This window comes from Homo sapiens, chromosome 10 (genome assembly GCF_000001405.40).
Source record: "Homo sapiens chromosome 10, GRCh38.p14 Primary Assembly".
Classification (NCBI taxonomy): Eukaryota; Metazoa; Chordata; class Mammalia; order Primates; family Hominidae; genus Homo; species Homo sapiens.
Window position 1 is genome coordinate 48,650,385 of NC_000010.11, and position 27,950 is coordinate 48,678,334.

General features: G+C 44.0%; 1 protein-coding gene across 18 annotated transcripts in view, besides 5 other annotated features; it reads right to left on the bottom strand.

Moving 5' to 3' along the window:
- Positions 1–5,881, bottom strand: part of ARHGAP22 (Rho GTPase activating protein 22) — a 226,435-nt gene extending 220,554 nt beyond the window's left edge. For 13 of the 18 annotated variants that reach the window (NR_045675.2, XM_024448100.2, XM_011540013.4 and 10 more), the window contains exons 1-2: positions 5,125–5,881; positions 1,850–2,012 (exon numbers count right to left, since the gene is read on the bottom strand). Coding sequence is in view for 17 of the 18 variants with exons in the window: in XM_024448100.2 (XP_024303868.1) it covers positions 1,850–1,901 (52 nt within the window). In the remaining variant the exon portion in view is untranslated. Of the gene's footprint in view, positions 1–1,849; positions 2,119–5,124 lie in introns of those variants that run through there. The other 5 variants (NM_001347738.2, XM_011540003.2, NM_001347736.2 and 2 more) reach the window with 2 other exon arrangements.
- Positions 5,582–6,171: a silencer, noted in NCBI's record as "silent region_2358". NCBI's record gives its function as "represses an Ori minimal core promoter by ATAC-STARR-seq in GM12878 lymphoblastoid cells {active_cell/tissue: GM12878}" and the evidence as "EXISTENCE:reporter gene assay evidence [ECO:0000049][PMID:35858748]".
- Positions 6,422–6,491: an enhancer, noted in NCBI's record as "active region_3334". NCBI's record gives its function as "activates an Ori minimal core promoter by ATAC-STARR-seq in GM12878 lymphoblastoid cells {active_cell/tissue: GM12878}" and the evidence as "EXISTENCE:reporter gene assay evidence [ECO:0000049][PMID:35858748]".
- Positions 17,816–17,865: a silencer, noted in NCBI's record as "silent region_2359". NCBI's record gives its function as "represses an Ori minimal core promoter by ATAC-STARR-seq in GM12878 lymphoblastoid cells {active_cell/tissue: GM12878}" and the evidence as "EXISTENCE:reporter gene assay evidence [ECO:0000049][PMID:35858748]".
- Positions 18,066–18,185: an enhancer, noted in NCBI's record as "active region_3335". NCBI's record gives its function as "activates an Ori minimal core promoter by ATAC-STARR-seq in GM12878 lymphoblastoid cells {active_cell/tissue: GM12878}" and the evidence as "EXISTENCE:reporter gene assay evidence [ECO:0000049][PMID:35858748]".
- Positions 22,339–22,408: an enhancer, noted in NCBI's record as "active region_3336". NCBI's record gives its function as "activates an Ori minimal core promoter by ATAC-STARR-seq in GM12878 lymphoblastoid cells {active_cell/tissue: GM12878}" and the evidence as "EXISTENCE:reporter gene assay evidence [ECO:0000049][PMID:35858748]".

Consider the following 27,950-nt stretch of genomic DNA (forward strand, 5'->3'; position numbering starts at 1 on the left):
ATCCATGGAGGCAGAACACAGATTGATGTTTGCATGGGGTGGAGAAGAGGGAGCAACCTCTTAATAGGTACAAGGTGATGGAAAAATTTTGGAATTAAATGGAGCTGGTGGTTGCACAACATCATGAATGTATGAATTGCCACTGACTTTTACACTTCAAAATGGTTAAATTCATGTTATATACATTTCATCTTGATAAAGACATTAATTCAATCAAATTCATTAAGTTCAGGTATGTCATGCAGTATGTCCTCTGTCCCTTTCTCAAAGGATTTGCACCTATGCTATGAATCTGGGGAAGAATTTATTTCATCATAGAAATCTGGTGGCTGGAACCTCCTACAAAAGCAAGTGACTGTTCCTTCCAAGCCAGATAATGCAATAAACCTAGCACAGGGAAAATAATACCTGGAGATATTAGGTATTAGGCTTGAACAGTTAAAGGTTAATCTCAGCTGCTCCCCCACCCCCTATTTTCTCCTGTGGAAAGTGAGATCCAGGGAAGTTGACAGTGTGAGAAGTGTCTGCAGCACGAGGCCGGCCCAGGGGTCCTGGCTTCTAGCCCACTCCGTTCTTCATGAACACAGAGCTTTACTCCTCACCCCATGAATATCTACTCAGACCACAGAAAAGGGGCTCTGTGGAGTCTGAGCCCACCCTGGGCTTGGTCCACTATATCCTGAACCTGGTAGCATATTACATTACATCACATCACCTGGGACTTTAAAAATATGCTGATATCTTGGATTCATCCAAGACCAATTAAACCTGCATCTCTGGAGGGGGAGCCTGGGAATTTTTAAAAGCACCTTGGGTGATTTTAATGTGGAGGTTGAGGTCCATGACTGCATTTCACCCACTAGCTTCTAGAATTTCCAATCTTTACCAGTCCTGGAGGGGCTCAGGCAACATCATCTCATAACTGAGCCCATCAGGTCATGCATATGACCTGACTAGCAACTGCCAACCATCACCTACACAGCCCATGCAGCCCAGCACCTGCACAACCCATCCAATCATCACCTGCATAGTCCACCCAGCCAGCACCTGCACAATCCACCCAGTCAGCACCTGCACAACAAGCCGAATCCTCACCTGCACAGCTCACCCAGTCAGCACCTGCACAATCCACCCAATCATCACCTGCATAGTCTACCCAGCCAGCACCTGCACAACCCACCCAATCAGCACCTGTACAACCCATCCAAATCATCACTTACACAGCCCACCCAACCATCACCTGCACAATCCACCCAATCCTCACCTGCACAGCCCACCCAGCGAGCACCTGCCTGTGACCCAAACAAACAGTCATCCCACTTGGTCTAACAATTATCTCCCAGGCACTTTACTGAGGGACCCAAACAGACAGTCACAGCCATCCCATTTGGTCTAATAGTTACCTCCCAGACACTTTAGTGAGGGTTACTGAGATGTCCTCACTATTTCTCTACTAGCCCCTTGGCTGGATCCTTTCCAAGCAGAGATGCAGAGTAGCCTTCAGCTGCACACAGCGTTCCCCTGTGAAGGACTTGCCTACTGCCCCAGCGGTCCTTGGACATAGGAGTCCTTACAGACTCTGAATGCAATCAGAGCCCTGAGTCATTAGAGCCCAGGACCCTGAAGTCTCTGTTTTTCAGGCAGACACAGAGCAGCTGCCATAGTTCAGGGGTGGGGTTTGTGCCATCAGCCATTTCCAGGAGCTGAAGGAGGTCAGAACCCTGACCACAGATGCCGCCTGGTGCTCTCAGCCACAAGACCAAGACAGCCTCCGGGGACCCCATCCCTCAAGCAAGAAGTCAAATGCAAAGGTAATCATTTCCCACATAGAACATAAAAAAATTCTTACTGAAATATCTGGCTGCAAACGTCCTCCTTTTGCTGGAAGCTGTCGGCAGCATAATGAAGCTGGCAGTCTGTGCAAATTTCTTCTGTATCCTTTTTATAAAGAACCAACCACATCCTCAAGCAGACAAGCTAATTCCTGTTTTCCAGTAACAGGAGATCCACATCTATAGAAAAGAAATATATTTAGAATGCCCTTTATCTGGTATTTTCTTGGATTTTAAGCAAGAAGCCTCGCTGTGAAGAATTAGTTCATTAAGCGTAAGTGCATCTAGGGATCTTGGAATGGCCTTGAGAAAGTCACGGGGTCTTGGGGTATCAGTTCCTCAAATCTGTAAAATGGGAACAATAGTGACAACCACTTCACAGAACAAAGAATTGAGAAGTGGAAAGAAGGGGCTTTGTGAGCAAAGCCCTCAGCACACATCGGATGCTATATTTGATTTTTTTTCCATGAGCTGACCTGGATTCAAGGGGAGCTGGGTTTCCAGAAAGCCTTAGAAATAAGTACAAACAACACTGCAAATTTGCAGTGACTTCCAGGATGCATTTATGGCCTTTGTCTGGTGGGCACAGCAGTCCTGTTAGTGGGGAGAGCAAGTCCCACAGAGGGACAGTCAAGGCCCAGGAGCACCCCATGTGAGACCCTCACCAGGCACACAGGCTGCTCATGGCATGGCTTCTCCATTCCATTTCTGGAAATTTAGCATCATTACAGCATAATTTACAGTTGTGGAGAATCAAAAAGAAAAATCCCAATTATGAAACAGCCAAGCGATATTTATGCAGCCATCAGCATCATTGACATAGTGGTCCTGGCAGTCCAAGGCAAAGGCAGGCTCCAAGGCGGTGGATACAATGTTATCTAAATGAGGGCAGCATTGATTCAGATGGAGCAGTGACTCCTGGGAGGGCATGCATCAGGATTTTCTTCCTAGCACCCTCCTTGTCTCCTCTGTTCTATTGAGCTTGCATCACATTTATTGATAGTGACCTGAAACACCTTTCAATTGCAGAGAGCATAAAAGCAGTTAAAAACCAATCACTGCTATAAAGATAAAACAAGCATAGCCAGTGCTCAGTGGCTCAGTGCAGGCTAGATCCTTCCTACACCTGGGCTTGTGGGTGCAGGAATTGGGGCTGTCACCACTGCAGGAAGGTGCACCCTGGGCTGCGGGACAGCGCTTAGTGGGGTGTGTTGGGGGAATGTCATCTTGGCCCATGCCTTGGGGATCTGTGGACAGTTCCTGCTGCTAATGTTCTCAGAAGGGAGCGCTGGAACAGCACAGAGAACGGGGCCAAACTGAGCCTCTGGGGAGTGACCAGGGATAGCTGGAAGCAGAAGGAGGCAGCAGGCGAGCACTCAACTGCTTGAAGAGAGCAGCAAGGGCCAAAACCCAAGGTGCCAGCATGTCCTTGCAACAAAGCAAGCAGTAATTTGGGTTGCAAAGGCCAGAGTGCAAGGCTGATAAGAGCCCACAGGTACAGAGGCAGAGAGGAGTGAGAGGAAGCAGCCCATCCCACGACCTGGTGTACAGGGGGCTTTGGAACTAAAACTCTAGGACAAAGTCCAGGTTTTCCATTTTCGAGTGCTTGGAATTTAGACATGGGCTAGATTTGGCAAATAAAGGTGTAGGATGCCCAGTTAGTTTTGCAGTGTAACTGTGTTCTAAATATTGCGTGGGACATAATACCTGCTAAAAAGGTATGTATAGTTGACCTGAAACACTATTCAGATTTAACTGGGTATCCTGTATTTTATCTGGCAAACGTATACCTTCTGAATATCCATTTTCTCTTTGATCAAAAAAGAAAATACCACCAGGTAAGAAACTTTCAATTGCAGACAATAAGAAAGTCAGTTAAAAAGAGGGGATTTATTGGCTCCTTGAGCAGGAAAGCCCTCATAATATGGACTTCAGGCATGGCTGGATCCAGCAGCTTGACAATGTTAACCAAGTCTGGGTTTTTTTTTCCAGTTCTCCTGTTTGCTTCTGGAATGCCTGCTTCATTCTCAACAAAGTCCCCTCATTATTAAAAAATGCTGGACACCAGCTCGCTTCAGGAACTAATACTCTTTCTTTCATGACCAACACAAAGAAAGAGCCTATCTTCCAGTGTCTCTCTCAGAAGTGCTGGGAAGCTGCCCCTCCCTACTCTCCCAAACATCTCTTCTTGCCTCATGGCCTTGGTTGGTCCACTCACCCATCCCTGAACCACCCAAACCAATGCAATGTGCTGATTGGCTAAAGCCAACCTGGTCTCATCCCAGGAATAGGGTGGCTTGGCTTCGTAAAAGCCACCTCAGCTGGTATGGAAAAGAGGTGGTTGCTAGAGTGGATGCCAGGCACTGCAACCAAGGTTGGGGAGAAGGGGTTCAAAATACAGTGCCCACAGTGAGGTTGCCCTAAGGATAAGATACATGAGACTGCCCCGCTGGTGTGGTGTGTGTGTTTAAGTGTGTGCTGTATGAGAGGAGAGAGAGGGAGAGAGAGACAGAGGGAGAGGGGGAATGTTAGTTCCTCTCCTTGGACATGCTGATTACTTTCTTTCTTTCTTTCTTTCTTTCTTTCTTTCTTTCTTTCTTTCTTTCTTTCTTCCTTCCTTCCTTCCTCTCTCTTTTCTTTCTCTTTCTTTCCTTCTTTCTTTCTTTCTCTTTCTTTTCTCTCCTCCCTTCCTCCCTTTCTCCCTTTCTCTCTGTTTCTCTCTCTCTTTCTTTCTCTCTTTCTCCTTCCTTCCTTCCTTCCATCCTTCCTCCCTTCCTCTCTCTCTTTCTTTCTCTTTCTTTCTTTCTTTCTTTCATTCTTTCTTTCTTTCTTTCTTTCTCCTTCCTTCCCTCCTTCTCTTCTCTTCTCTTCTCTTCTCTTCTCTTCTCTTCTCTTCTCTTTCCTCTTGGCCAGCTCGGTGACTCAATCTCCTTCCTGTCTCAGGCCCCTCCCACGAACTGGCCCGTGTGTGCCCGGGGAAGGTCCCTTCTCCTCACTGACCTCCACCCACACCATGGAGAGTGGATGTGTGTGTGTGTGTGGGGGGGGGGGGGGGCGGGGGACGCTGCATCAGGAGACCTCTGGTTAGGGAATTTTTATCAGGAACCACCTCTGTGACCTTTACCAACCTCAGCCTATAGTGGGGACAAGGTCCTACAGCGTGGGCCTCTCCTTTGGAAGGCTTTGGGACAGAGTTCTGCCCACCAGCTGGAGGACAGTGACCTCAGGGGGAGAAGGGACAGGAGACTGCTCTCCAGTCCCTCACCCCAGCCCTCGCCTTTCCCTCACCCACCTTTCTTTGCAGCAAGTTCAAAGGCAGGTCATACACCAGCTAAGCGGGCACAGCTGGGCACAGTTCCCGGGGCCTGCCGGGCAGCGCTGGGAAGGGCGGCAGAGAGCGCGGACTGGACGCTCGTCTTGGAATGACTCAGCCAGGAGCAGCCGCCAGCAGCATGGGCCACGCAGCAAACGGGCGCGCCGTGGGAGCTGGAGAGGCCAGGTCTTCTGGAACCAGGCCAGTGCACCCTGCCCGGGCGTCACCCCACCACGGACATTCACAATGACAGTCAGCACTTCTCAGCACACTGTGGATCACACGCATTAGCCTGGCACCTGGCAGCGCCCCGAGGTGGGCATCACGGTGGGATTGGGAGGCACTCCAGTCACAGGGTTCACCAGGGCCGAGGTGGCGACGAAAACCCGTCCCTCGGGCGTGGCAGTGGCCTGGCCACGTGCGCCCCAGGGCTTGCACCCGCATCTCCCGCCGGTGGTAAGCGGGGCCTCCAGCAGAGCGGGCGGGGCTGCTCACCTGGAACCAGGGCCAGCCGTCTCCTCCCCTGCCTCGGCCGCCCGGGGCCTGCCTGGGGCTCCTTCCTCGCCGCCCGGCGGCAGCTCTTGAGCTCCCGGCCCGCTCCTTTAGCCCCGCAGGCTCCCTGGCCGTGACCCTGTCCCCGGCCTCCGTGTGATGAGCAGGCGAGCAGGGCCGGGGGGATGCAGCCTGGGCCCCGCATCCTCAGGCAGGACGGAGCTCCCGGCTGCTCGGCGCCTCTGGGGGGGGGGGGGCGGGGGGGGGGGATGCGGCGCAGCGGGCGGTCCCAGCGAGTCAGAAGGGTGCAGCAGCCGGGTCGGGGATGGCCGGGCGAGGCTGACCCCTGCCGGGCAGCGCGGGTGGCGCCACGGGCGGAGGCGACTTCCTGGGCCCTGGTGCACGGCGCCCCCTGGCGGGCCTCGGGGAGGCGGCCTCCTGCGTGCCCGGACCGCTCGCTGCGCCTTCCCGCCTGGCTTCCGGTTACCCAACCTCATCTCGCCCGAGCCTCATCTGTAGCTCACCGTCCTGTGCGCCCTGTGCTGTTGGCAGGGCGTGTGGGATTTAGAGGGTTTTCTATACTGAGTCTTCCTCGGAGCAGGTGAATTCTGCATAGCTGGCCCAGTTCTGTGTCTTAAGTATGGGGAGAGAGTGGGGGCTGGAGAAATCACTAGCAGGGGAGGAGCCCTGAGGTTGCCGAGGGGGATCGGAGCTACTTCCCAAGGCGCCTACACCGCCCGTAGACTGGGAAACTACGGTCACAAAGGGTCAGCGCATTCCCCAAGGTCCCAGAGCCACACGCAGCATGGCTGGCATTTGAAAGTCAAAGCAGAGGAAGCAGGCAGGTGGCTCTTGTTGAACTGGCTTCCAGAGTCTGTGTTGGGCAGAGAGATCCTTCCCCGAGAGTGGAGTGGCCTCGTGCTCACCTGGGTTCAGCGTCAAGGTTCACCTGGAATCACCTGCACTCTTGTCCTTGACCAAGGCAGGGTGGTTAGCCATGGGCTGATAGCCTTGGAGAGCCTGATTCAGCCTTTGGGTAGAGCTGGGTCAGTCCAGCCTCAGGGCCATCACTCACCCGAAGCATTGTGGTAACCTGCCTGCCCCTGGAGACCCCGGGTGTGGGGCAGGGTGACCGTGGTGGAGAGTGGGAGCTGGCAGAGGTAAGGAGGCACACGTCTGCCACAGCACCAGAGCTCAGGGCGCCTGAGAAGCAAGGTCATAGCGTCCTGTTCTTGGACCCCGTCAGTCTCCACAGCTATAGGGGGCTCCATTGAAAAGAGTGTGCCAGACCTTCTCTGTCTGTGCCCTGGTGAGGGCTCACTCACTCTCCAGGCTTGCTGGGGGAGGAGGCACGAACTTCGGTGGAAAGAACAGAACTCAGGAGCCAGAGAATGGAGTTTGACTCCTGCCTCGGACACTTCTTAGCCGGGTCTCTAGGGGGCTCAGAGAGCCTGAGCCCCCTTCCTCATGTATAAAGTGAGGATAGTAATACTGCTGAATCCCTGGGTCTGTTAGAGAATGAAGCGAGGAAAGTCAGGCAGAGCACTTAACTAAGTGCCCAGCTCGCATTAAGTACACCATGCTCATGCCCATGGCCAGGATGGTGTGTTCCAGCTGCAACCTTTAGCAGGGGCCCTGGAAGTGCTTGTGTCTTCTGCTTCGTCCATCATTAGCAGCAGCAGAAGGTAGGGCAGTGTTTGCTTCTCAAACCAGGTTTCTCACACATTGAAAGATATTCTGCATTTAAATTTACATGATAAATTAAAATATAAGCCATTGGGATGAACACCTTATAATCAAATACTCCCAGGTGACCTAGTGCCTGAGTTTACCTGAGTGTTTAAAATCAAGTTGGCGACAAGGAACAGCGAACACGACTGCCTTTAATATTTAGTTAGACCCTGGTGGGGTGAGGCTCCCAGGAGTGGCTTCCCTTTGGGCCCTTCCTCTGTCCTCCCAGGTGGCTGAGGGGGACCTACAACCCTAGTCAGCAGTTGGGAATCCGTCCTCATCAGTGAGCTACCTGGCTTCCATGAAACTAGGGTCGTGTCTAGGGATCTAGTGTTTTGGAAGCTCCTGGAAATGAGGTTGGCCAAGAGGGTCTTCTGGAAATCTCCGCTCACTGAGCCATCATCCTACGCCAGTGGTCAAATTCTGCCAGAACCACACTGCAGATCATGTTTAATTAGAGTTCTTAGGGTACTTTTGTTTTTACGTAGCGACGTTGTTTGTTTTTTTCTAGTTGTTATAAGCATTGCAGGGCTATCTGTTGTTTCACGTGCTTAAATATTTAAGCCAGTCAATGCCGGAACCTAGGGATCGTTTCCACCTTCTTTTTGAAAAGGGTCACATTACTGGAAGAAGAAACCTGGAGCTGATTCACAAAAGTAGAGTAATCCTGTCTGCAGTTGAGAGTTGAAGCCACGAGGTGGCGCCCTCAGCACACTACTTGAGCTGTTGGGTTTTCCAGCGGCAATGACCAGCACGGGGACAGAGGATGTCCTGAAGAGGGGCTCTGTCCGCTTCAGGACGTCCAGGGGAGTCACCTGTGTAACACTCACAGGAAATACATGCTTCTGTGGGTACACAGCTGGGAACAGGGTGAGGCAAGTGAGTTATCTTGGGTGCAAATTTTAAGGGGCAATGAGCGCCCCTCTCCCCTCACCCTGGTCCCGGCCCTGGGCCACCGGACTGGGACATGTCTGTGAGGACCAGAGTTGGGGAGCGGCTCCCTGACACCCCAGGAGAGAGGGTGATGCTTTGACCTCAGCCCTGGTCAGGTGGGGCCTACACCACGGGGACGCTAAAGCCCCTATTCTGATCCAGAGGCTGTGGCCGGAATAAACGGATGTACTTTCTGGGAGGGGATTAAGGGGATGGACGAGGTGCTGCCCCATCCCTATTCCCACTATGAATTGGAGCCACAGGGACATGGAGGGTGTGGAGCTGAGCCGAGTGCGTCCCTGGAGTGCCCTTTCCTGTCTGCACTCGGGCTGGGCCAGCCTCCTGTGGCTCCTGCACATGGCAGCCCCCCTCAGCTGGAGGAGCCACAGTGGAGCAGGCGTGGAGTCCGTGGCACCATGGCAGGGGGTCTCTGTCCAGGGCCTGGGTACTCGGTGACACTGGGAGAGAATGCAGCCTGCAGCGTGGCCTCGGAAACTGGAATAAGAGAGCTGACCTATGAAGGAGGCACGGGAAGCTGGGTGCAGAGATGACCGAGAAACTGGCAAACATTTTGGTAAACCAGAGCACCATGCTGCGTGAGTGAGGAGTAACCAAGGTGGAAGTGTTAAGGATGAGGTGGAACGAATATTCATACCATACAGTAACTAACACTGAACACAGTCACCTGGAAGAGAAGACTGGGGAGAATCGGGACATTAAGGCTCCTGGGCACTTGCGGTTTTTACTCCGGGTCAGCGCTGTCCAACAGGGATATAGTTTGAACCACGTCTATAATTAAACGCTTTCTGGTAGCCATATTAAAAAAGAAACAGGTGAAATTGGTTTAATAACATATTTTATTTAGGGCAATATATGCAAAATACTATCATTTCCACATATAATCATTTATAAATATTATTTATTGAAACATTTTGTATTCCTTTTTTTATACCAACTCTTTCAAATCCGGTGCATATTTTACATTTATAGCATATTCCAATTTGGATACTAAATTTCTGCTGCAAATATTTTATCTGTATTTAGAGTTTACAAAATTTAGAGTTAAAAAAAGATTTTCAAGTTGTTCTAAACATGCGTTTTTAGTAATTGGATTGTGTATCAATTTCTAAATTAAGATTAAATAAAATTGAACATTTAAGTGCTCGGTTGATCTAATTTCAAATGTGATTAGTGGCCCTACTGTATTGGATAGTGCAGTGGTAGGCATTTAAAAGTAAAGTATTCATGTTAAAAATGTTAAGAATAACAAGCAAAGAATAGAAGTAGAATATATAACTTCTAAACCAGTAGAGGGGGCTGCATACAAAAAAAATCCCGATCAATTCAACAGAAGGGGAAGTGAGAAAACAATAAAACAAAAATTATGATAAATAGAAACACAAAAGAAGAAGATAAAAATAGGTATAAATGCCATAAATTTATCAGTAACAGTAGTAAATGTAAACAGATTAATCTCACACATTAAAAGACAGAAGTACTTAGGTTGGAATTTTTAAAAATCCAGTTGTAGCTGCTTGTGAAGAGACATCTAAAATATAAGAACACAGAAATGTTGAAAATAAATGAATGGAAAAAGATATGTGAGACAAATAGGAATTAAAATAAAACTAGTGTAGTGAACTCATATTAATATGGACAAGACAGACTAAGGAAAATCTTTATTAGGGATAAAGATTGTCATTGCAAGATTATAAAAGAAACAATTCATAGAGATACAACAATCTTGAGCCTATATACACCTAGCAACATAGCCTGGAAGGAAAGAAAACAAATAAAAGTCTGTGACATAATGTGAAGAATTTGAAAATTCACAATCTTAGTGGAAATTTTATGATAACACTCTCAGAAACTGATAGACCAAGTAGAACACTAGCAACAAATTAGTAGAGAAAGAGATTTTGAACAATGCATTAAGAAAACCTAATATAATAGATACATGTAGAAGCCTGTACCCATGGAATATTTATAGAAATTGACCATGTACCACTTCACAAGAGGGTTCAATAAATAAACACTAAAGAATCAATATTACTCAATGTTGTCTAACCTTGATATAATAAAATTATACAACAATAAGAAGACTAAAAAACATACATCTAAAAATCATACATCTAAACACCGAAAAATACATTGTAATTTGTGTCTAAAAGGAGATATTGGAATAGAAATTACAAAATATTTAGAATCAAATGCAACATAGAACCACAATTTAAGACTTGTTGTACACAGCTAACATGGTACTTTGAAGGAAATTTATGGCATTAAATGTGTACATTAGAAAATAAGAAAGGTTGTAAATTAATTAACTGAAAATTTAACTAAAGAATTAAGAAAAAGATAGCATGTGATGACAGTTCAGCTTTTATTTTCTCTCCTAAATTTAGCTTTGAAGGGGAAATGGGTTCTCAATGTTCTACACAATTTCTAACTGTTGAGGGTTCCCAGGTCTTAGACTTGAGCCTTTTCTCTCCCAGGTAATCTTATCCATTCCTACAGTTTTAAAACACCATCTGTGCTGATGAGTCTCAGTCTCGAGACTAGAGCTCACCTCTAAGCTACAGGCATCCTTTTCTGACTGCTCCGTTACCCTCACCCTATGGCATCTCACACGTAACACGTTCGAAACATATGCTCCAATCTGTCCCAAGCTTGTTTCTCCTCTCCATGCCAATAAATGTTGCCACCCACGTTAACTTTAAGCAAAAGATGTAGGGGTCATTCTTGAGTTTATCTGATGACTTATTCTGTAAGCCTTGTAGTCACTTCTATTTCCAAGATACAACCCAAGTCCATCCTTTTTTCTCTCTTTCCACTATTACCACCCTAGATGTGCCACTGCCATTCTTGCTTGGCCTCATTCAAGAGCCTCTGCACTGGCTTCTATGCATGCTCTATTGTCCCCAGGCCATTCTCCATGCAGCAGTAAAATGTAAATTGGGGCATGCCATTTCCCTGCATAAACACCTCAATGGCTTCTCATCATGTTGAGCCTCAAGTCCAAACTTCCTGCTGGATCTTAGAAGGCCCTCCCTGAGAGGTCCTTGCCTGTTTCTCTAGTTTATCTTGGTCCTGTTCATGCTCAATCCCCCTACCCTGCCACTGCCACCTTGTTGGCATTTATGCTTTCAGCATACTGGCCACTCAACTCCTTTCTTGCCCCAGGGCTTTTGTACCTGCTTCCCACTTCTTGAAATGCTCCCCACTTCTTGAAATGCTCCCCCACACTTCTTCAGTAAACACTTCTTCTTTTTTTTTTTTTTCTTTTTCTAGACGGAGTCTCACTCTGTTCCCCAGGCTGGAGTGCAGGGGCGTGATTTCCGCTCACTGCAAGCTCTGCCTCCTGGGTTCACGCCATTCTCCTGCCTCAGCCTCCCAAGTAGCTGGGACTACAGGCGCCCACCACCACGCCCGGCTAATTTTTTGTATTTTTAGTAGAGACGGAGTTTCACTGTGTTATCCAGGATGGTCTCGATCTCCTGACCTCGAGATCCGCCCGCCTTGGCCTCCCAAAATGCTGGGATTACAGGTGTGAGCCACCGCGCCCGGTCCAGTAAACACTTCTTAGTTTGTTGAATGAACAAATACATACTAACCTGTTAGCACAGGGATTTTTATCCTTATTTCATAGCTGAGGACTGCAAGGCCCAGAGGGGCTGACTGTAATTTTTCAAGACATTTTTGGTTAAAAAAAAAAAAAACCTAATGGTTTTAGCAAAACCCTTGAGATGACCTCTGAATGGACCATCATGGATCATGTGCACAGACCTGAACCCATCGTTGCAGCTGGGGCAGGGAACAGTCTCATATGGTGGGCCTTGGTCATGCATCCATCCCACTGCTGAGGGTGGAATCAGTTCCAACCAACACACATGGTGTGAGGATGAGTGAGGGGAGGCTTCTAAAGCAGCTTTATTTGTAATAGCCTCAAACTGGAAACAGTCAAGATGGTTAAACAGGTGAATGGTTAAACACCCTGTGCACAGCCATGCCATGGATTCTATCTAGCAATGAAAAGGAAAGGACTATGAATGCTTGCAGCCACTTGGGTGGATCTCAAGGACATTACGTTTAGCGAAAAAAGCCAGTCCCAAAAGGACATAGGCTGCATTATTTCATGTATATAACATTCTCTAAATGAGTTGGAGAGCAGATGAGAGGTGGCCAGGGGTTAGGGACAAATGGGGCAGAAGGCAGGTGTGACTACAAGGGACAGCATGAGGGATAGCTTACAGCCACAGGATAGTTCTGCACCCTGGTGGTTACATAAATCTGCATGTAATACAACTGGAGTGATAGACATTGCATCAATGCCAGTTCCCTGGTTTTGATATTGTACTAAGTTATGTAAGATAGAATCACTGAGAGACACTGAGTCAAGGGGATCTGGGACCTCTTTGATTATTTTTGCAACTTCCTGTGAATCTGCAAAAGAGTAGGTACTCACTAGTGGCAACAATATACATTACCAGTCTAACATGTGTACACATAGATAGGTCTTGTTAGGATGTTGAAACTGTGCCAATGCATGTTATTATTACTACAGTTTTAAAGATTTCTCTAAAAAATCAAAAAGCAAAATGTATATGATAATTAAAGAATACAAAAAATTAAAAAACATTATTTGATAAAATTAAATTCTTATTGTGATTTTAAAAATAAAAAATAAATCTAAAAATTAAACTGTTAGCATTTCTGGTGTTTGTTTTGCATCTAGTGGGTGCTATGAAGAATCTATGTCATACTTCACGCAAGTGACATTATACATCCAGAACAACACATATGCATCTAAGAGGGAGTGAGCTGTTTAATAGCATGAAATATTTCCAGGCTGCAATGAAGAACCATTGTGAATTTTGCAATGATATATAAGTACCTATGAAACTATGAATTTGAACTCAAAGAGCAGAAAAAAAAATACATGTCTGGCACTATTCAGAGATGAGATTTCTTATGGAGAACCTACTACATTTAGGTGATCTGAGAGGAAGCCTCTGGAAGTTTAGATTTTTTTCCTATTGCTTCCACGTTCAATTCCTCCTAGACATGGAAGCAATGTTCCTGCTGGCAATGGCACAACCCATAAACCTAAGCTGATCCTGCAAGCCAAATCCATAACATTTGGATCCAATCACATTTTCTTTTGAGGACATACATAGGGCAAGAGATGAGGTGCTGGACAATGCCAGTCCAGTGAGCAGGTGTGCAGGGTCAGGGCCATGGGTCATGCAGGGCAGCACTGGGCACACCTCTCGAGGAACAGAGGTGCCCATTCCATACATCCATGAATAGATGTGTGCTGTTTGGGTTCTCATGGGCCCTCAAAGTGTAGAGTCCAAGATAGGGCCCTCCTTGGTTTCCTGGACAGGTAGCATCTTAGTTCTTATGTGGGTATGAAGTCACTGCTGACTCCATGGCCATGTGTCACCAGGTTTACACCTTACCCTCCAGCAGGCTGAGCTGTCAGAGCATATGGAGGCTGCCTTGCTCACCTTGGTCTTTCCACTCAGGAATAGCACACAGATGCTGGGGCTCAGAAGCTTTTGGGGAAATGAGCTGCACAGGATTCTCTGTGGGTCCACTGGGAGCCCAGCTCTGTGGTCTCTCCCTGTGAAGTAGAGCACAACCTCGCTGCAGGGAGACTTCTGGGTTTGCTGCTCCTGGGCCAGGGATCTGCTACTGCAGTTATGCCTTGGACTCCGTGCCACTCTGAAATGCAAGGGCAAAGACTTCAACCAATGCTGCTTCCAGACCAGCTTATCCTAGTGTTACTTTTGGAAAATGCTTTCTTCTTGTTTTTTAAAAAATTTATCAAGCATTAGTTTCTTTAGAGATGGCCCTCCAAATCCCTTCCCTGTCAGTGTGCTCATGCCCTTCCTCCTGCCAAGAGGTGGAAATGATGCTACAGTAGTTCTGCATGTAGACCCTAAGAAGCCTGGAAGCTTCACTGTCTTTCTCTCTGGAAGCCAAGCTGTCATATTTTATAAGATTTGCACTGTCTAACGAATGATGAGAGGGCATGGAGGGAAAGAGAGTCTGCAAAGGAAGAGCACTGAGGCACCAGTCTTGTGAATAAAGCTTCCCTTGGATATTCGAGCTCCCAGCCCCCTAGTGAATGCAGCCAGGTGGCTCTCAGTCCATGCTGTGTGGAGCAGAAGAACCCCCCAGCCAAGCCCTGCCTGCTTCCTGTCCCACAGAATTGTGAGAAATAATAAGTAGTTGTTATTTCAAACCACCATATTTTGTTATGTAGCAGCAGATATCTGAAACACTCCTCAATAAAGCTTGGGAAAACTTGACTGTTAAATGTTTGATTGAGCACCTACTATTTCTTAGGTCTGTACTAGGGGCTATGGCTATGGAGATAAACAAGAAAAATTCCCTGACTCAAGAGCTCACTAATCAAAATGGCAAGGAGGAAATTATAACAGAGCAATTTGCAGAATGGATGAGCAATAGGAAAAGTGTAGGGGACTGTAGAGGACTAGGAGGGAGGGAGAATCCTATCCCACAAAGGCAGGATCAAGGACTGAAATCTCCCCCAGTGCCACCACCCAGCAACAACTACTGGGGGCAGTTTTTTTTTTTTTTTCAGTTGCAAGATTTAATAGAGTGAAATAGAGTGAAAACAGAGCTCCCATACAAAGGGAAGGGACCCAAAGGCGGTTGCCGTTGCTGGCTCGAATGCCTGGGTTTATATTGCAATCCTTGTCCCTCCCACTGTGCTCTCAGGCAATAGATGATTGGCTATTTCTTTACCTCCTGTTTTTGCCTAATTAGCATTTTAGTGAGCTCTCTGATTGGTTGGGTGTGAGCTAAGTTGCAAGCCCCGTGTTTAAAGGTGGATGCGGTCACCTTCCCAGCTAGGTTTAGGGATTCTTAATCGGCCTAGGAAATCCAGCTAGTCCTGTCTCTCAGTCCCCTCTCTCAACAGGAAAACCCAAGTGCTGTTGGTGAGGTTGGCTGATGACCACTCTAACTGCTTCCTGCTGAACTGGGGCATAGTAGGGGTTGTGCAGTTGAGATTTCCTCAGGAGGAGTGACTTCGATGTCATTAACACCAGAGCATGGGCTAGCAGGCCAGTCTAGGGGTCCGCGGGAGATCTTAGACATGGACTGCATCTGGGGTTCCATTTGAAGAACGATTTGTAGTTTTACAGTTTTAATTCTGGAAGACACAAACTTAACAAGGCGGTTAAAGATACAGGGATTGAAATGTATGGCCTGCAGTGCAGGGGATTACTTCTTTGGCACACTTCACAGGCCCTGACTATCTGCTTGATAGTTTTGAAAAGGCCTGGTTCAGTAAATAATAATTTGGCCATCTGATGGGTGCTATCGATGCCTAAGTGGAAGGTTTGGTGAAGGCTTTTAAGTAATTTTATTGGTTAGCTCCAGGCAAAAGTATTTTTCCTTCTTCAGTGGCTAGCCATCTGGAGGGGAGGAAAGTATGTCCTTGTGAGGTTCCTTATTCTATTTTTCCTGCTGAATACTGGGGCTTGGTTTCCCGGAGGGGATTACCCTGTACTAGGGGCCCTTCCATAAGCATTTCTAATGGAGGGTCCTGCCTTGCGGCTCTTTTGACTTTAAGATCCGCTTGGCGGTTCCTTTCTATTTCCCTTTCCTTTCCTTTCTGGTGACCCCAACAGTGTAAGACTGCCACCTCTTTAGGTTTCTGTATAGCCAATAGTAATCTCCTAATGGCTTCCTGATGTTCTATAGGTGTTCCCTCGGAAATTAGGAATTCCCTTTCTCTCCATATTGCTGCATGGGCATGGAGGACTAGGTAAGCAGACTTAGAGTCTGTATATATATTTACCCTTTTCCCTTCTCCTAATTCTAGTGCCCGAGTGAGGGTTATTAGTTCTGCCAGCTGAGCACTAGTTCCTGGAGTGAGGGGATTACTTTCAAGTATTCCTTTATTACTGACCACTGCAACCCCTGCTTTTCAAAGTCCTTTTTCTACAAAGGGACTTCCACCAGTATACAAGTTGAGGTTGGGATCAGTCAAGGGAACCTCTAAAAGGTCCCCTCAAGTGGCATAGGTTTGAGCGATTACTTGTTGACAGTTATGTTCTATCTTTTCTTCATTGTCTGGGACATATGTGGCTGGATTAAGAGTTGCACAAGTGCGCAGTTGCAGCACTGGCCCTTCAAGTAATAGAGCCTGATATTTAAGTAAATGGTTAGCTGACAGCCACAAGTCTCCTTTAGCAGTGAGTATGCTGTTCATTTCATGAGATTTCCACACAGTAAGATCTCTTCCCTGTATTATTTTAACTGCTTCAGATACTAAGACTGGGCAGTTTGTAGCATTTCTCTCCAGCGTTTTGTCAGTGGATTGATTTGCCATGGATGCAGTGACAAAGCTGGTTATAAATAATGTTGAAGACTCACTATGTGCTGGGTGCTGGGAGCCATTCCACTGCTTCCCTTGAAACCACTCAGAAAGAAGGCTACTGCTGTAGTACCCATTGGATAGATGAGGAAGCCGAGGCTTACAGAACTGAAGGTCAGGCAGCCAGTAAGGCACAGAGGCAGGACTCCCACCCAGGCACTTCAACCCCAGAGCCGGTGCCTGCAGCCAGACTGCTCACCTGCTTTCTAACTTAACATTATAAATTAAGCATATCCTTACGGTATTAAAAATGATGTCTGAAACAGCATATTACTCACTGTATACCATGTTACTTTAAAGTCTAAGATTGAACACTTCAGATTATTTCCAATATGCAGAGAGCACTTTTCCACATGAGGAGTTACTTTTGTGTTTATTTATGGGCCCATATTCTTCTATCATTTAAAAAATGGTTTGAAGGCCGGGTGTGGTGGCTCACTCATGTAATCCCAGCACTTTGGGAGACCGAGGCGGGCAGATGGCCAGGTCAGGAGATCAAGACCGTCCTGGCTAACACCGTGAAACCCCGTCTCTACTAAAAATACAAAAAATTAACCAGGCGGGGAGGTGGGTACCTGTAGTCCCAGCTACTTGGGAGGCTGAGGCAGGAGAATGGCATGAACCCTGGAGGCAGAGCTTGCAGTAAGCCGAGATCGCGCCCTGCACTCCAGCCTGGGCGACAGAGCAAGACTCCGCCTCAAAAAAAAAAAAAAAAAAAGGTTTGAAGCAAATGTATAAGAAGCCTTCTCAATGTTGGATCATTTTCTTAGGATAAATTCACAGAAGGGTAAATAACAAATATTTTAATTTTGGGGTTTTTCACAAGAAATTTCTGGAAGCAAAAGGCAATTGATCTTGGTGGGTGACAAAGTTACGCCCATCAATATTTACAGCAATTATCCCCACATTTCACAGTTTCTCCGGAAGCACAGAGAGGCACTTCTGCAGAGGACCCAGCCAGTTATAATGAAACTGCCCGTGAATTTCTTCTCAAAACTTGAAGTGAATCTGCGGCTAAGGTTTGAGAATTCAAATGTGCCCCCTGGGCTGGTCCTTCAGCAGACGAGGGCAAAAAGCAGAAGTGGCTTCACCTCCCTGCCCTTCCCCATACCTCAGAATTGGGCTAGCTTTTGGTAGGCCCTGCTGCGGGTGGGTGGCATGGGTCATTTGAGCCACACGTCTTCTTGGTATTTGGTGGTGGGGATGGGGACTCCTCCTTAAGAAGCAAATATTGCCACTGTTTTGCCTTCCCTGGGCCTGATGTCATCCCAAATGTCGCAACTGCTCATGAGGGCAGGCAGGGAGGGTCCTACAACCCCTATTTATAGATGCAGAGGCTCTGGAAATAACCTGCCCTACCAGCTGCTTCTCACCCTGCTTCTCTGGTGATGAGTCCTTCTTATGTTACCAATGAGTCTGAAAACCCCTGGGACCCTATTGGCCCCAGAGCCAGGGAGGAAGAAGCATTCCTCTTCATTTCCTCCTACTCTCTTATGTGAGGTAGTGGTAAGATCAGACAAACCTCTGATATAGTGGTGTGCTGGTAAATGCTTAACCCACCCCTAAAAAAAAGAATATAAATATATATATATATATACATATTTATGATTGTTATAAATTTTACTGCTATAAAGGATGTGTAATGAACACTTTACAAATAATAATAATAAAACAGGCAATACTCTATGTTGTAAATTCCTTATAGTTGATTGATTCTAACAGAATGCTTTCACTGATTTTTGCCAAACATTGGTATCCCTAGCCAATCTATGGTCTCAATTTAACCATTATTTGACAAATGGAGTTGCATTCCAATCCACAGCACTTTATCTAATACATTTATAGTCATGAAATCTGATGTGTAATCTGCTGCTAAGTGATGTCTCCTTCCCATACAAACTATATTGATTATCCTGCAGCCACTTTCAGATTCAGCACTAGCTTATATTGGAACTTCACTCATTTGTCAACGGGTGTGAGTGACTTTGTTTACTTGGATAATAGTTTTCAAATATGGGAAAAATATTATCTCAATCTTTGCACTATTCACAATGCAAGGGCTATAGACATAGCACAATTTAAGTTTAATCTACATTATTAACCTCCCTTTTCTGAAGTCTAACGAACAAAACAATAAACCAAGCCCTTGTTTGTAGGGTTTTCCAATTTCCATGGTGTAAATTCTCCCTCTGTGGACAATTGGAAGCTACCAACATGACATCCCTACATGCAGAGTTGGGAAGGAACATGCAGTAGCCACCAGGATAGAGGGTTTCCACCACTCAGAACTACAGGCGTGCCTCGCCTATTTAGGTAACAGCAAAATGTAATAGAGTGGTGCATTTTGAGTATTAATTACCTTTGTATAATAACATAAGTTATTAAATTATATGTTTATATAATTTAATTTTAGTTTTAATGGCACAGAAGTATCTTTCTTCTTTCTGGATCAACCACATAGAATTTCAATTCTACTGTGAATATTATCTTTGAAATCACAATATTGTCAATGCTATATATTTGCTTTCTAGTTTTTAGAGTTGACCTATAAACAAAGCAAGTAAGACACTTTTAGTTAGCTAATACAAATATTTTAAACCATGATGATATAAAAATAATAATATAGAAAACAAAAGATGGGGAGGAGCAAGGGAGGAAGAATAACTACATCAGTACAGATTGAATGTCCTTTATCCAAAACGCTTGGGTTTGTAACACAAAGGATAAATGCTTGAGGGGATGGGTACCCCATTCTCCATGATGTGATTATTTCACATTGCATTCCTGTATCAAAACATCTCGTGTACCCCATAAGTATATATACCTACTATGTACACCCAAAAATTAAAAACAAAGAAAATTAAACAAAACAAAATGCTTGGAACGAGAAATGTTTTGGATTTTTGATTGTTTTAGATTTGGGGATATTTGCACCATGCTTACTGGTTGAGCATCCCTAATCTGAGAATCTGAAATCTGACACAGCCCAATGAGCTTTTCATGTGAATATTATCTCAGGGCTCAAAAAGTTTCAGATTTTGGAGCATTTCAGATTTTCATTTTGGATTAGGGATACTCAACCTCTATTCTTGTCTTTCATAGTTGTGAATGCCATCTTAATTTGATACATAAAAAAGTGAATATACTATTTAAGGTCATGAAGGAAATTATTGAAAGGTATGTAAAATATAATGAACAGAGTTGAAAAGGCAACATTTAGAAGGATAAAATAAAAATATAATTACAAATCAGGAGTAGAAGAGAGTAAGAAGGAGATAGTGTAAGCACTCTAATTTTCTTATTTTTTATGTCTGAAGGCCCAAAGATATTGTCAAAAATTCATAAATCCTAAAGAAGTTTATTAGTTGAAGTTATAATGAAGATCAGAATATCTAAAAACAACTACTCTTGGTGATTATTTGGGCAAATGGAAAATGGTCAGGGGCAAAAGGGAAACTTCTTTTTATGTTCTTATAAACTGACTTTTGTTTTCCAGGTGCAAGTATTATTTTATAAGTAAAAAGAAACCAATATCTACTATTAAAAATGCAACTTCTGCTTCCTCCAGCCTGGACCTTATTTACTTTGCAGTAATCCCTTTTACAGTATATTTTGATTTCCACTATATGTAGAAACATCCCAGAAGGCCTGAAGTCACACTTAATTCCTGTGTCCAGTTCTCATGGCCCTTCACCTTCCCCTCCACCAGCGGGGGGTGGGGGTGGGGTGGGGGGGTTGGGGGGGGAGCAGAATTCTCCTGTTACACTGGAGAGCTGCCACATTTTGTGCCTGTCTACATCACAGTAATTCACAAAGTGCTAAACATTGCACTTTGCCATATGGTACATTCTTATTTTTCAATTCTCATTACCTCACATGTATAAACAAACAAACAAACAAAAAAGGCTTCAGGAAGTTCAGTGCCCTGCTCAGAGTCCTGCAGTTTAGTGGCTTACACTGGCAGGTTCCTTCTCTCCTGCAGCAGAGAATCAAGACAGAGAATCCAATATCCCCAGTGTATCCTCCCCCAGAAAATGTGGTGTTCCCCCGACAAAAAGAAGTCAATGTCTAATGTTCCCATCTTGTCTCATAATCCCTTTCAAAAAGGAGGAATTGCTGTCTGAGAGGGTATTTTGTTCCCCAGTGACTGAGGGCAGGGCAGGGGCAGGGAAGGCTTCCCCTCTCTTCTGGCCCTAGAGGCCCTGTAAATGCACTGTGCAGTCACTGACGTGCCCTCAGGCAGGGCCCTGGCGGGAAGGGGGCTGTTCCAGGTCTACCAGCTTCACACCCTTATTCTATTGAATTCTCATGAAAACAAAATCTGTGAAACAGCTGTGATCTTCATTTTCTGATGAGGGAACAGAGCCTCCGTGCCCCCGAGATCACTGGTATGACTCCAAAGATTTTCCCTCTTGCCCCCGCTCCAGCAACGGGTGGCGGGACCAGGACCTGTCCCTTCCGCCTGGGAACGGTGCCCTGGGGCAGGGTCCCCAAGGCTCCTCTCCACCGTGGAGGCTGAGGCCAAGCCCACGGCACAGGGCACAGGCTCTGGCGGGGCGTGTTCGAGGTTGGGCGTCAGCGGAGGCCGCAGGGGCTCGGGCGAGGCAGCCACTGGAGCGCGGAGCCGGCCCCACCTGCAGGGCCCGGGCTTCCCCTCTGACAAAAGCTGCTGTCGGGAGGGGCTGTAAAGCAGCAGAGAAGACCAGGCGAGGGATCTGCACCAGAGGAAGGGAGGCAGGCCTTTCCTGTATTTATCTCTGCAGGAGCCGGGAGGGAAGCTCCTCCACGGAAAAGTGTCAAACCTTGCCCAAGCTCGCAGGTCCACGAGCGAAGCCCCCACCCCCTCTTCCCGCGCTGCTCCCAGGGGGCTGCCAACCTCGACCTCACGCAGCACTCTGTCCCCACCAGCCCCAGCCTCCCAGGCCCAGAGAGCGTGGCCCATAGTCCCCTTGGCGTCTTCTCACTCAGCGTGCCCCCTCCTGTGTGTCCCTGGGCAGTCTCTCAATGACCCGCTGTAAGGGGCCCTCTTAGGGGCAGGAGCGTCTGGCTCCTGTCCCTGGCTGAGACCCGTCTAGGCTGCCCCGCGCAGGGCCTCTCCCAGGTGCCTCCCTGGTTGTGGCGGGAACAGCCAGGTTTGTTCACTGGGAGCTGGAGTCCTGGCCTTGGGCGATTGCTCTGACTAGGGGGCTGACCCCCACTGACCCAGTCACCTGATCACCATCACCGGCCAGATCCCACCCCACGGCACTTGGGTGGTGCAGGTGTTCACTGGGCCAAACTGAGGTGCATGAGCAGAAAGCATCTCTCTCCGCAGGGCTGGGGTGGATGCCAACACTGGCCCCTGGGGTTGTTGGTGAGAAACCTCGATCAGCAAGAGGCCAGGGAGTGCTGGAGGCTGCTCTGGGGCTTCCGCCCGCTGGCCGCTGAGGTGAGATATTCAAATATCGGTGGGCGGGTTTTTCCCAGGTTAATCCTCTCTTAACTGACTGCACAGCCCAGAGGGAAATAGAAGAATCTCCAGGCCACCTTCAGAAATGAAGATGGATTCCTCGCAGAGTGCTAGCAGGAAGATACCTGATGGGCCGTCTAGTTCAACAGATTCCTCCCCATTCCACAGACAGCCCAGAGAGGAGAGGCACAAAGGATAATAATGACAAAGAATAGACATGACTGTGATCCAGCAGCTACATTTGCCGTGTGCCCACTTGCGTGCCAGGCTTTGGGCCAGCTGCTCTGTGCACTTGCTTTTCATGATTCTGCCAGGTATGGATCGATGTACCCACTTTACAGATGATAAAACCGAACTCCAAGGAGAGAATGATATGAACAGAAGCTATCTCAGAGCTGGAGGCTTGGTTATGCTCCTTACTCACCCCACCACATTGAATCCCTCAACAAGCTGTCAGCAGCGACGTCATTAGTTTCATTTCACAGATACACCTCTGAAATGAACTCGTGTTTTACTTTGGTCTCCCCTGGTTTTCCAGGCCTCCAAGCAGCCTCTGGGGCCACCTTCCCTGCTGGCCAGCTGTGTCCTTTCCTGCTGGAACCACCCAGACCCAGGCTCCCCATGCTCATCAGCCTTGAGCCTAGCATCTCCTTGGGACTGACCTGCTGGGTGGCCACTCCCCCAGAGCCACCTACTCACTATTACCTGCTAGATGCCTTGTAAATTCTCTTTATTTATTTATCTTTGGGGGTTTGTATGATTTTGTTTGTTACTTGTAAACAGTGGATTCATTTGACTTTTATCAAGTCATGTAAATGGATCTAATTTTATTTTTTGGTATATGTCTACCTGGTTATCCCAACATCATTTATTAACAGTCCATCTTTCCCCACTGATTTGAGATGCCACCTTTCTGTATGATACATTTTCACAGTTGAGGCTATTTCTGGATTTTCTATTCTGTTTTGTTGTTCTCTGTTTATTCCTGTGACACACTGTTTCCATGATAAAAGACTTAGGGCCAGGCATGGTGGCTCACACCTGTAATCCCAGCACTTTGGGAGGCTGAGGCGGGCGGATCATGAGGTCAGGAGTTCGAGACCAGCCTGGCCAACATGGTGAAAACCTGTCTCTACTAAGAACACAAAAATTAGCCGAGCGTGGTGATGGGTGCCTGTAATCCCAGCTACTTGGGAGGCTGAGGCAGGAGAAACACTTGAAACCAGAAGGCGGTTTCAAGTGAGCCCAGATCGTGCCACTGTACTCCAGCCTGGGCAACAAGAGTGAAACTCTGTCTCAAAAAAAAAAAAAAAAAAAAGTAGAGCATGTTTTAATTTCTGAGAAACCCAGCCTTCCCTCCTTGCTCGCATTCTCTCTCTCTTTTCTTTCTTTTTTTTTTTTATTTTTGAGATGGAGCCTCACCCTGCTGCCCAGGCTGGCGATTTCGGCTCACTGCAACTTTCGACTGCTGGATTCAAGTGATTCTCCTGCCTCAGCCTCCTGAGTAACTGGAATTACAGGTGCATGCCACCATGCCCAGCTAATTTTTTGTATATTTAGTAGAGACGGGGTTTCACCAATTTGGCCACGCTGGCTTCGAACTCCTAATCTCAAGTAACCCACTCGCCTCAGCCTCCCAAAGTGTTGGGATTACAGGCATGAGCCACCGTGCCCAGCCTCTCTCTCTTTTTTCAAAGTAACTTTTATTATGGAAAAAAATTGAACATCTATAAACTGAGTATAGTAATATAATGAACATCCAGCCTCAACCTTGATTAACATTTTGCCATTTTTGTTTCATTTATGCCCACTCCTTCCCCCACTTAATTATTTTCATAGTTTTTCAATGTACAATTTTATGCATGTTGACATGCACAAACCTTATCTGTATGGTTCTGACAAATTTGTTCCACAATTGTAACACACATTCCTATGAAAATATTAAATATTTTCATCACCTCACAAAGTTTATGCTTTTATCCAATCAATAGTCCCTTCCCAGGGCAACTGCTGTTCTGATTTTTTTTTTCACCATAGGTTAATTTTGCCCGCTGGAGAATTTCATATGAATGGAATCACAGTATGGACTTTTTTGTGTACAACCACCTATAGTCAAGCTTAATGCCTGTGAGAGGAATCCATGTTGAACAGTGTATCAATAGTTGGATTTTTTTTTTTACTATAGAGTAGAATTTCACTGTATGAATATACCATGGTTCATTTATTCATTACCCATTAATGAATCTGTGGGTTGTTTCTGGTTTTTAGTTAGTATGAATAAAGTCATTGTGAATATTTATGCATAATCTTTGTGTGGACATGTGTTTTCATTTTTCTTGGCTGTGTCTGGTGGTGAAATTTGTGGGTCACATGATAAGTATATATTTTACTTTATAAGAAACTGTTAAATTGTTTATGAAAATGGTTGCATCATTATACATTCCTGTAAGCAATGTAGGAGCATTCTAGTTGCTCCAGTTGCAACATTTAATGTTGACAGTCTTTAAAATTTTAGCCATCTAAACGAATGTGCTGAGGTATCTCAGTGTGGTTTTAGTTTGCACTTCCTTATTAATTAATAATGTTGAGCACATTTTCATGTGCTTTTTAGCCATTTGGAGAAATATACCATACATATGATATATAAGTGTATATATACCATACATATGATATATAAGTGTGTATATACCATACATATGATATATAAGTGTGTATATGCCATACATATGATATATAAGTGTATATATGCCATACATATGATATATAAGTGTATATATACCATACATATGATATATAAGTGTATATATACCATACATATGATATATAAGTGTATATATCTCATATATATGATATATAGGTGTATATATCTCATATATATGATATACAGGTGTCTATATTCATATATATGATATATAGGTGTCTATATCTCATATATGATATATAGGTGTCTATATCTCATATGTATGATATATAAGTGTCTATATCTCATATATATGATATATAGGTGTCTATATCTCATATACGATATATAGGTGTACATATCTCATATATATGATATATAGGTGTACATATCTCATATATATGATATATAGGCGTATATATCTCATATATATGATATATAGGTGTACATATCTCATATATATGATATATAGGTGTACATATCTCATATATATGATATATAAGTGTATATATCTCATATATATGATATATAAGTGTATATATCTCATATATGATATATAGGTGTATATATCTCATATATATGATATATAAGTGTATGCATCATATATATGATATATAAGTGTATGCATCATATATATGATATATAAGTGTATGCATCATGTATATGATATATAAGTGTATGTATCATGTATATGATATATAAGTGTATGTATCATGTATATGATATATAAGTGTATGTATCATGTATATGATATATAAGTGTATGTATCATGTATATGATATATAAGTGTATGTATCATGTATATGATATATAAGTGTATGTATCATGTATATGATATATAAGTGTATGTATCATGTATATGATATATAAGTGTATGTATCATCTAGATGATATATATATAAGAATATATATAAGTATATATATATCATCTAGATGATATATAAGTATATATATATCATCGATGATATATAAGTATATATATATCATCGATGATATATAAGTATATATATATCATTGATGATATATAAGTATATATATATCATCGATGATATATAAGTATAAGTATATATATATCATCGATGATATATAAGTATATATATATCATCGATGATATATAAGTATATATATATCATCGATGATATATAAGTATATATATATCATCGATGATATATAAGTATATATATATCATCGATGATATATAAGTATATATATATCATCGATGATATATAAGTATATATATATCATCGATGATATATAAGTATATATATATCATCGATGATATATAAGTAAATATATCATCGATGATATATAAGTATATATATCATAGATGATATATAAGTGTATATATAATCATCTAGATGATATGTAAGTGTATATATCATCTAGACGATATATAAGTGTGTATATATCATCTAGACGATATATAAGTGTGTATATATCACCTATACGATATATAAGTGTATATATCATTTATACGATATATAAGTGTATATATCATCTATATAAGTATATATATCATCTATATAAGTATATATAATATATATGATACATATGATATAGATGATATATAAGTATATATGATATATATGATATATAAGTATATATGATATATATGATATATAAGTATATATGATATATATGATATATAAGTATATATGATACATAAGCTTATCCATATACATATGATATATATACATATATATCATATATACATATATATCATATATACATATATATCATATATATCATATATATGAGATACGTATATATGATATATGTATCATATATATCAATAACAGGATCGAGGCTGGCCCATGGCTGGTCTACACTTCCCAGTCTTCCTTGCAGCTCGATATGACATATAAGTATATATATCGTATATATGACATATAAATATATATATCGTATATATGACATATAAGTATATATATCGTATATATGACATATAAGTATATATATCGTATATATGACATATGAGTATATATATGATATATAGACATATCTATATATGATATATATGTATATATGATATATAGACATATATATGATATGCATATGGATATATATATATGAGATAAAGTGTCTCTTCAGGTCTTTTTTTCAGCTTTTATTGGGCTGTTCATCTTTTGATTATTGATTTGTTAGAGTTGTTTATGTACTCTGGATACTTCCTTGGTCAGTAATATTTTCTCCCTGTCCATGACTTGCCTTTCATTTACTAACAGTGTCTTTTATTAGAAGAAGTTTTAAATTTAGATGAAGTCTAATTTATCAGTCTTTTCTTTTATGGTTATTGCTTTCTGTAACCTGTCCAAGAAAAACTTTGTCTCCTCTCAAATTGCACAGATATTGTCCTATGTTTTCTCCTAGGAGCATGGTAACTTTAGTTTTTAACATTTGTGTCTAAGAAATAATGTAATCCCTACCAAAATTCTAAAGTCATTCTTGATAGAAATGGAAAAAATTTCTAAAATTCATATGGAGCCAGAAAATACACCAAATCTTGAGCTAAAAGAACAGAACAAGGCTGGAGGCATCACCATCTGGTTTCAAAATATATTACAAAGCTATAGTAATCAGAACAGCATGGTACTGCCAAAAAAACACATCGACCAATGGAACAGTACAGATAATGCAGAAATAAAACCATGCATTTATGGTCAATTGATTCTGAACAAAAGTGACTTGATTTGTTTTCATTATGGATAACCATGTCGTTTCAGCCACACTTGTTGGAAAGGCTTTTGTTTCCCATGAATCTCTTTTCAAAACATTCCCTCACCTTCCATACTGCCATTCCCCTTCCCTTTCCAAGCCTGCTGCTCACTGACATCCTCCCTCTGGTCCCACAGGACCTTCCTCAAAGTGGAGACTCTGTAGATAGAACCTCATTTCTGGCAAAGCTGCATCACTGATGTGAAGAAATAAAGCACTCAGAGTTAAACTGAAGTTTCAACTCTTTATTCTTACTTCCCCAAAATTAAACCATTTTGGCATGACAGGTGTGAGTCTGTGCATGGTGGCTGAGACCTGTATGGTGTGTGTGGTGTCTATGAACTTCCCCAAAGACAGACTGGAACTCGCCACACTAGGCATCTTGTATA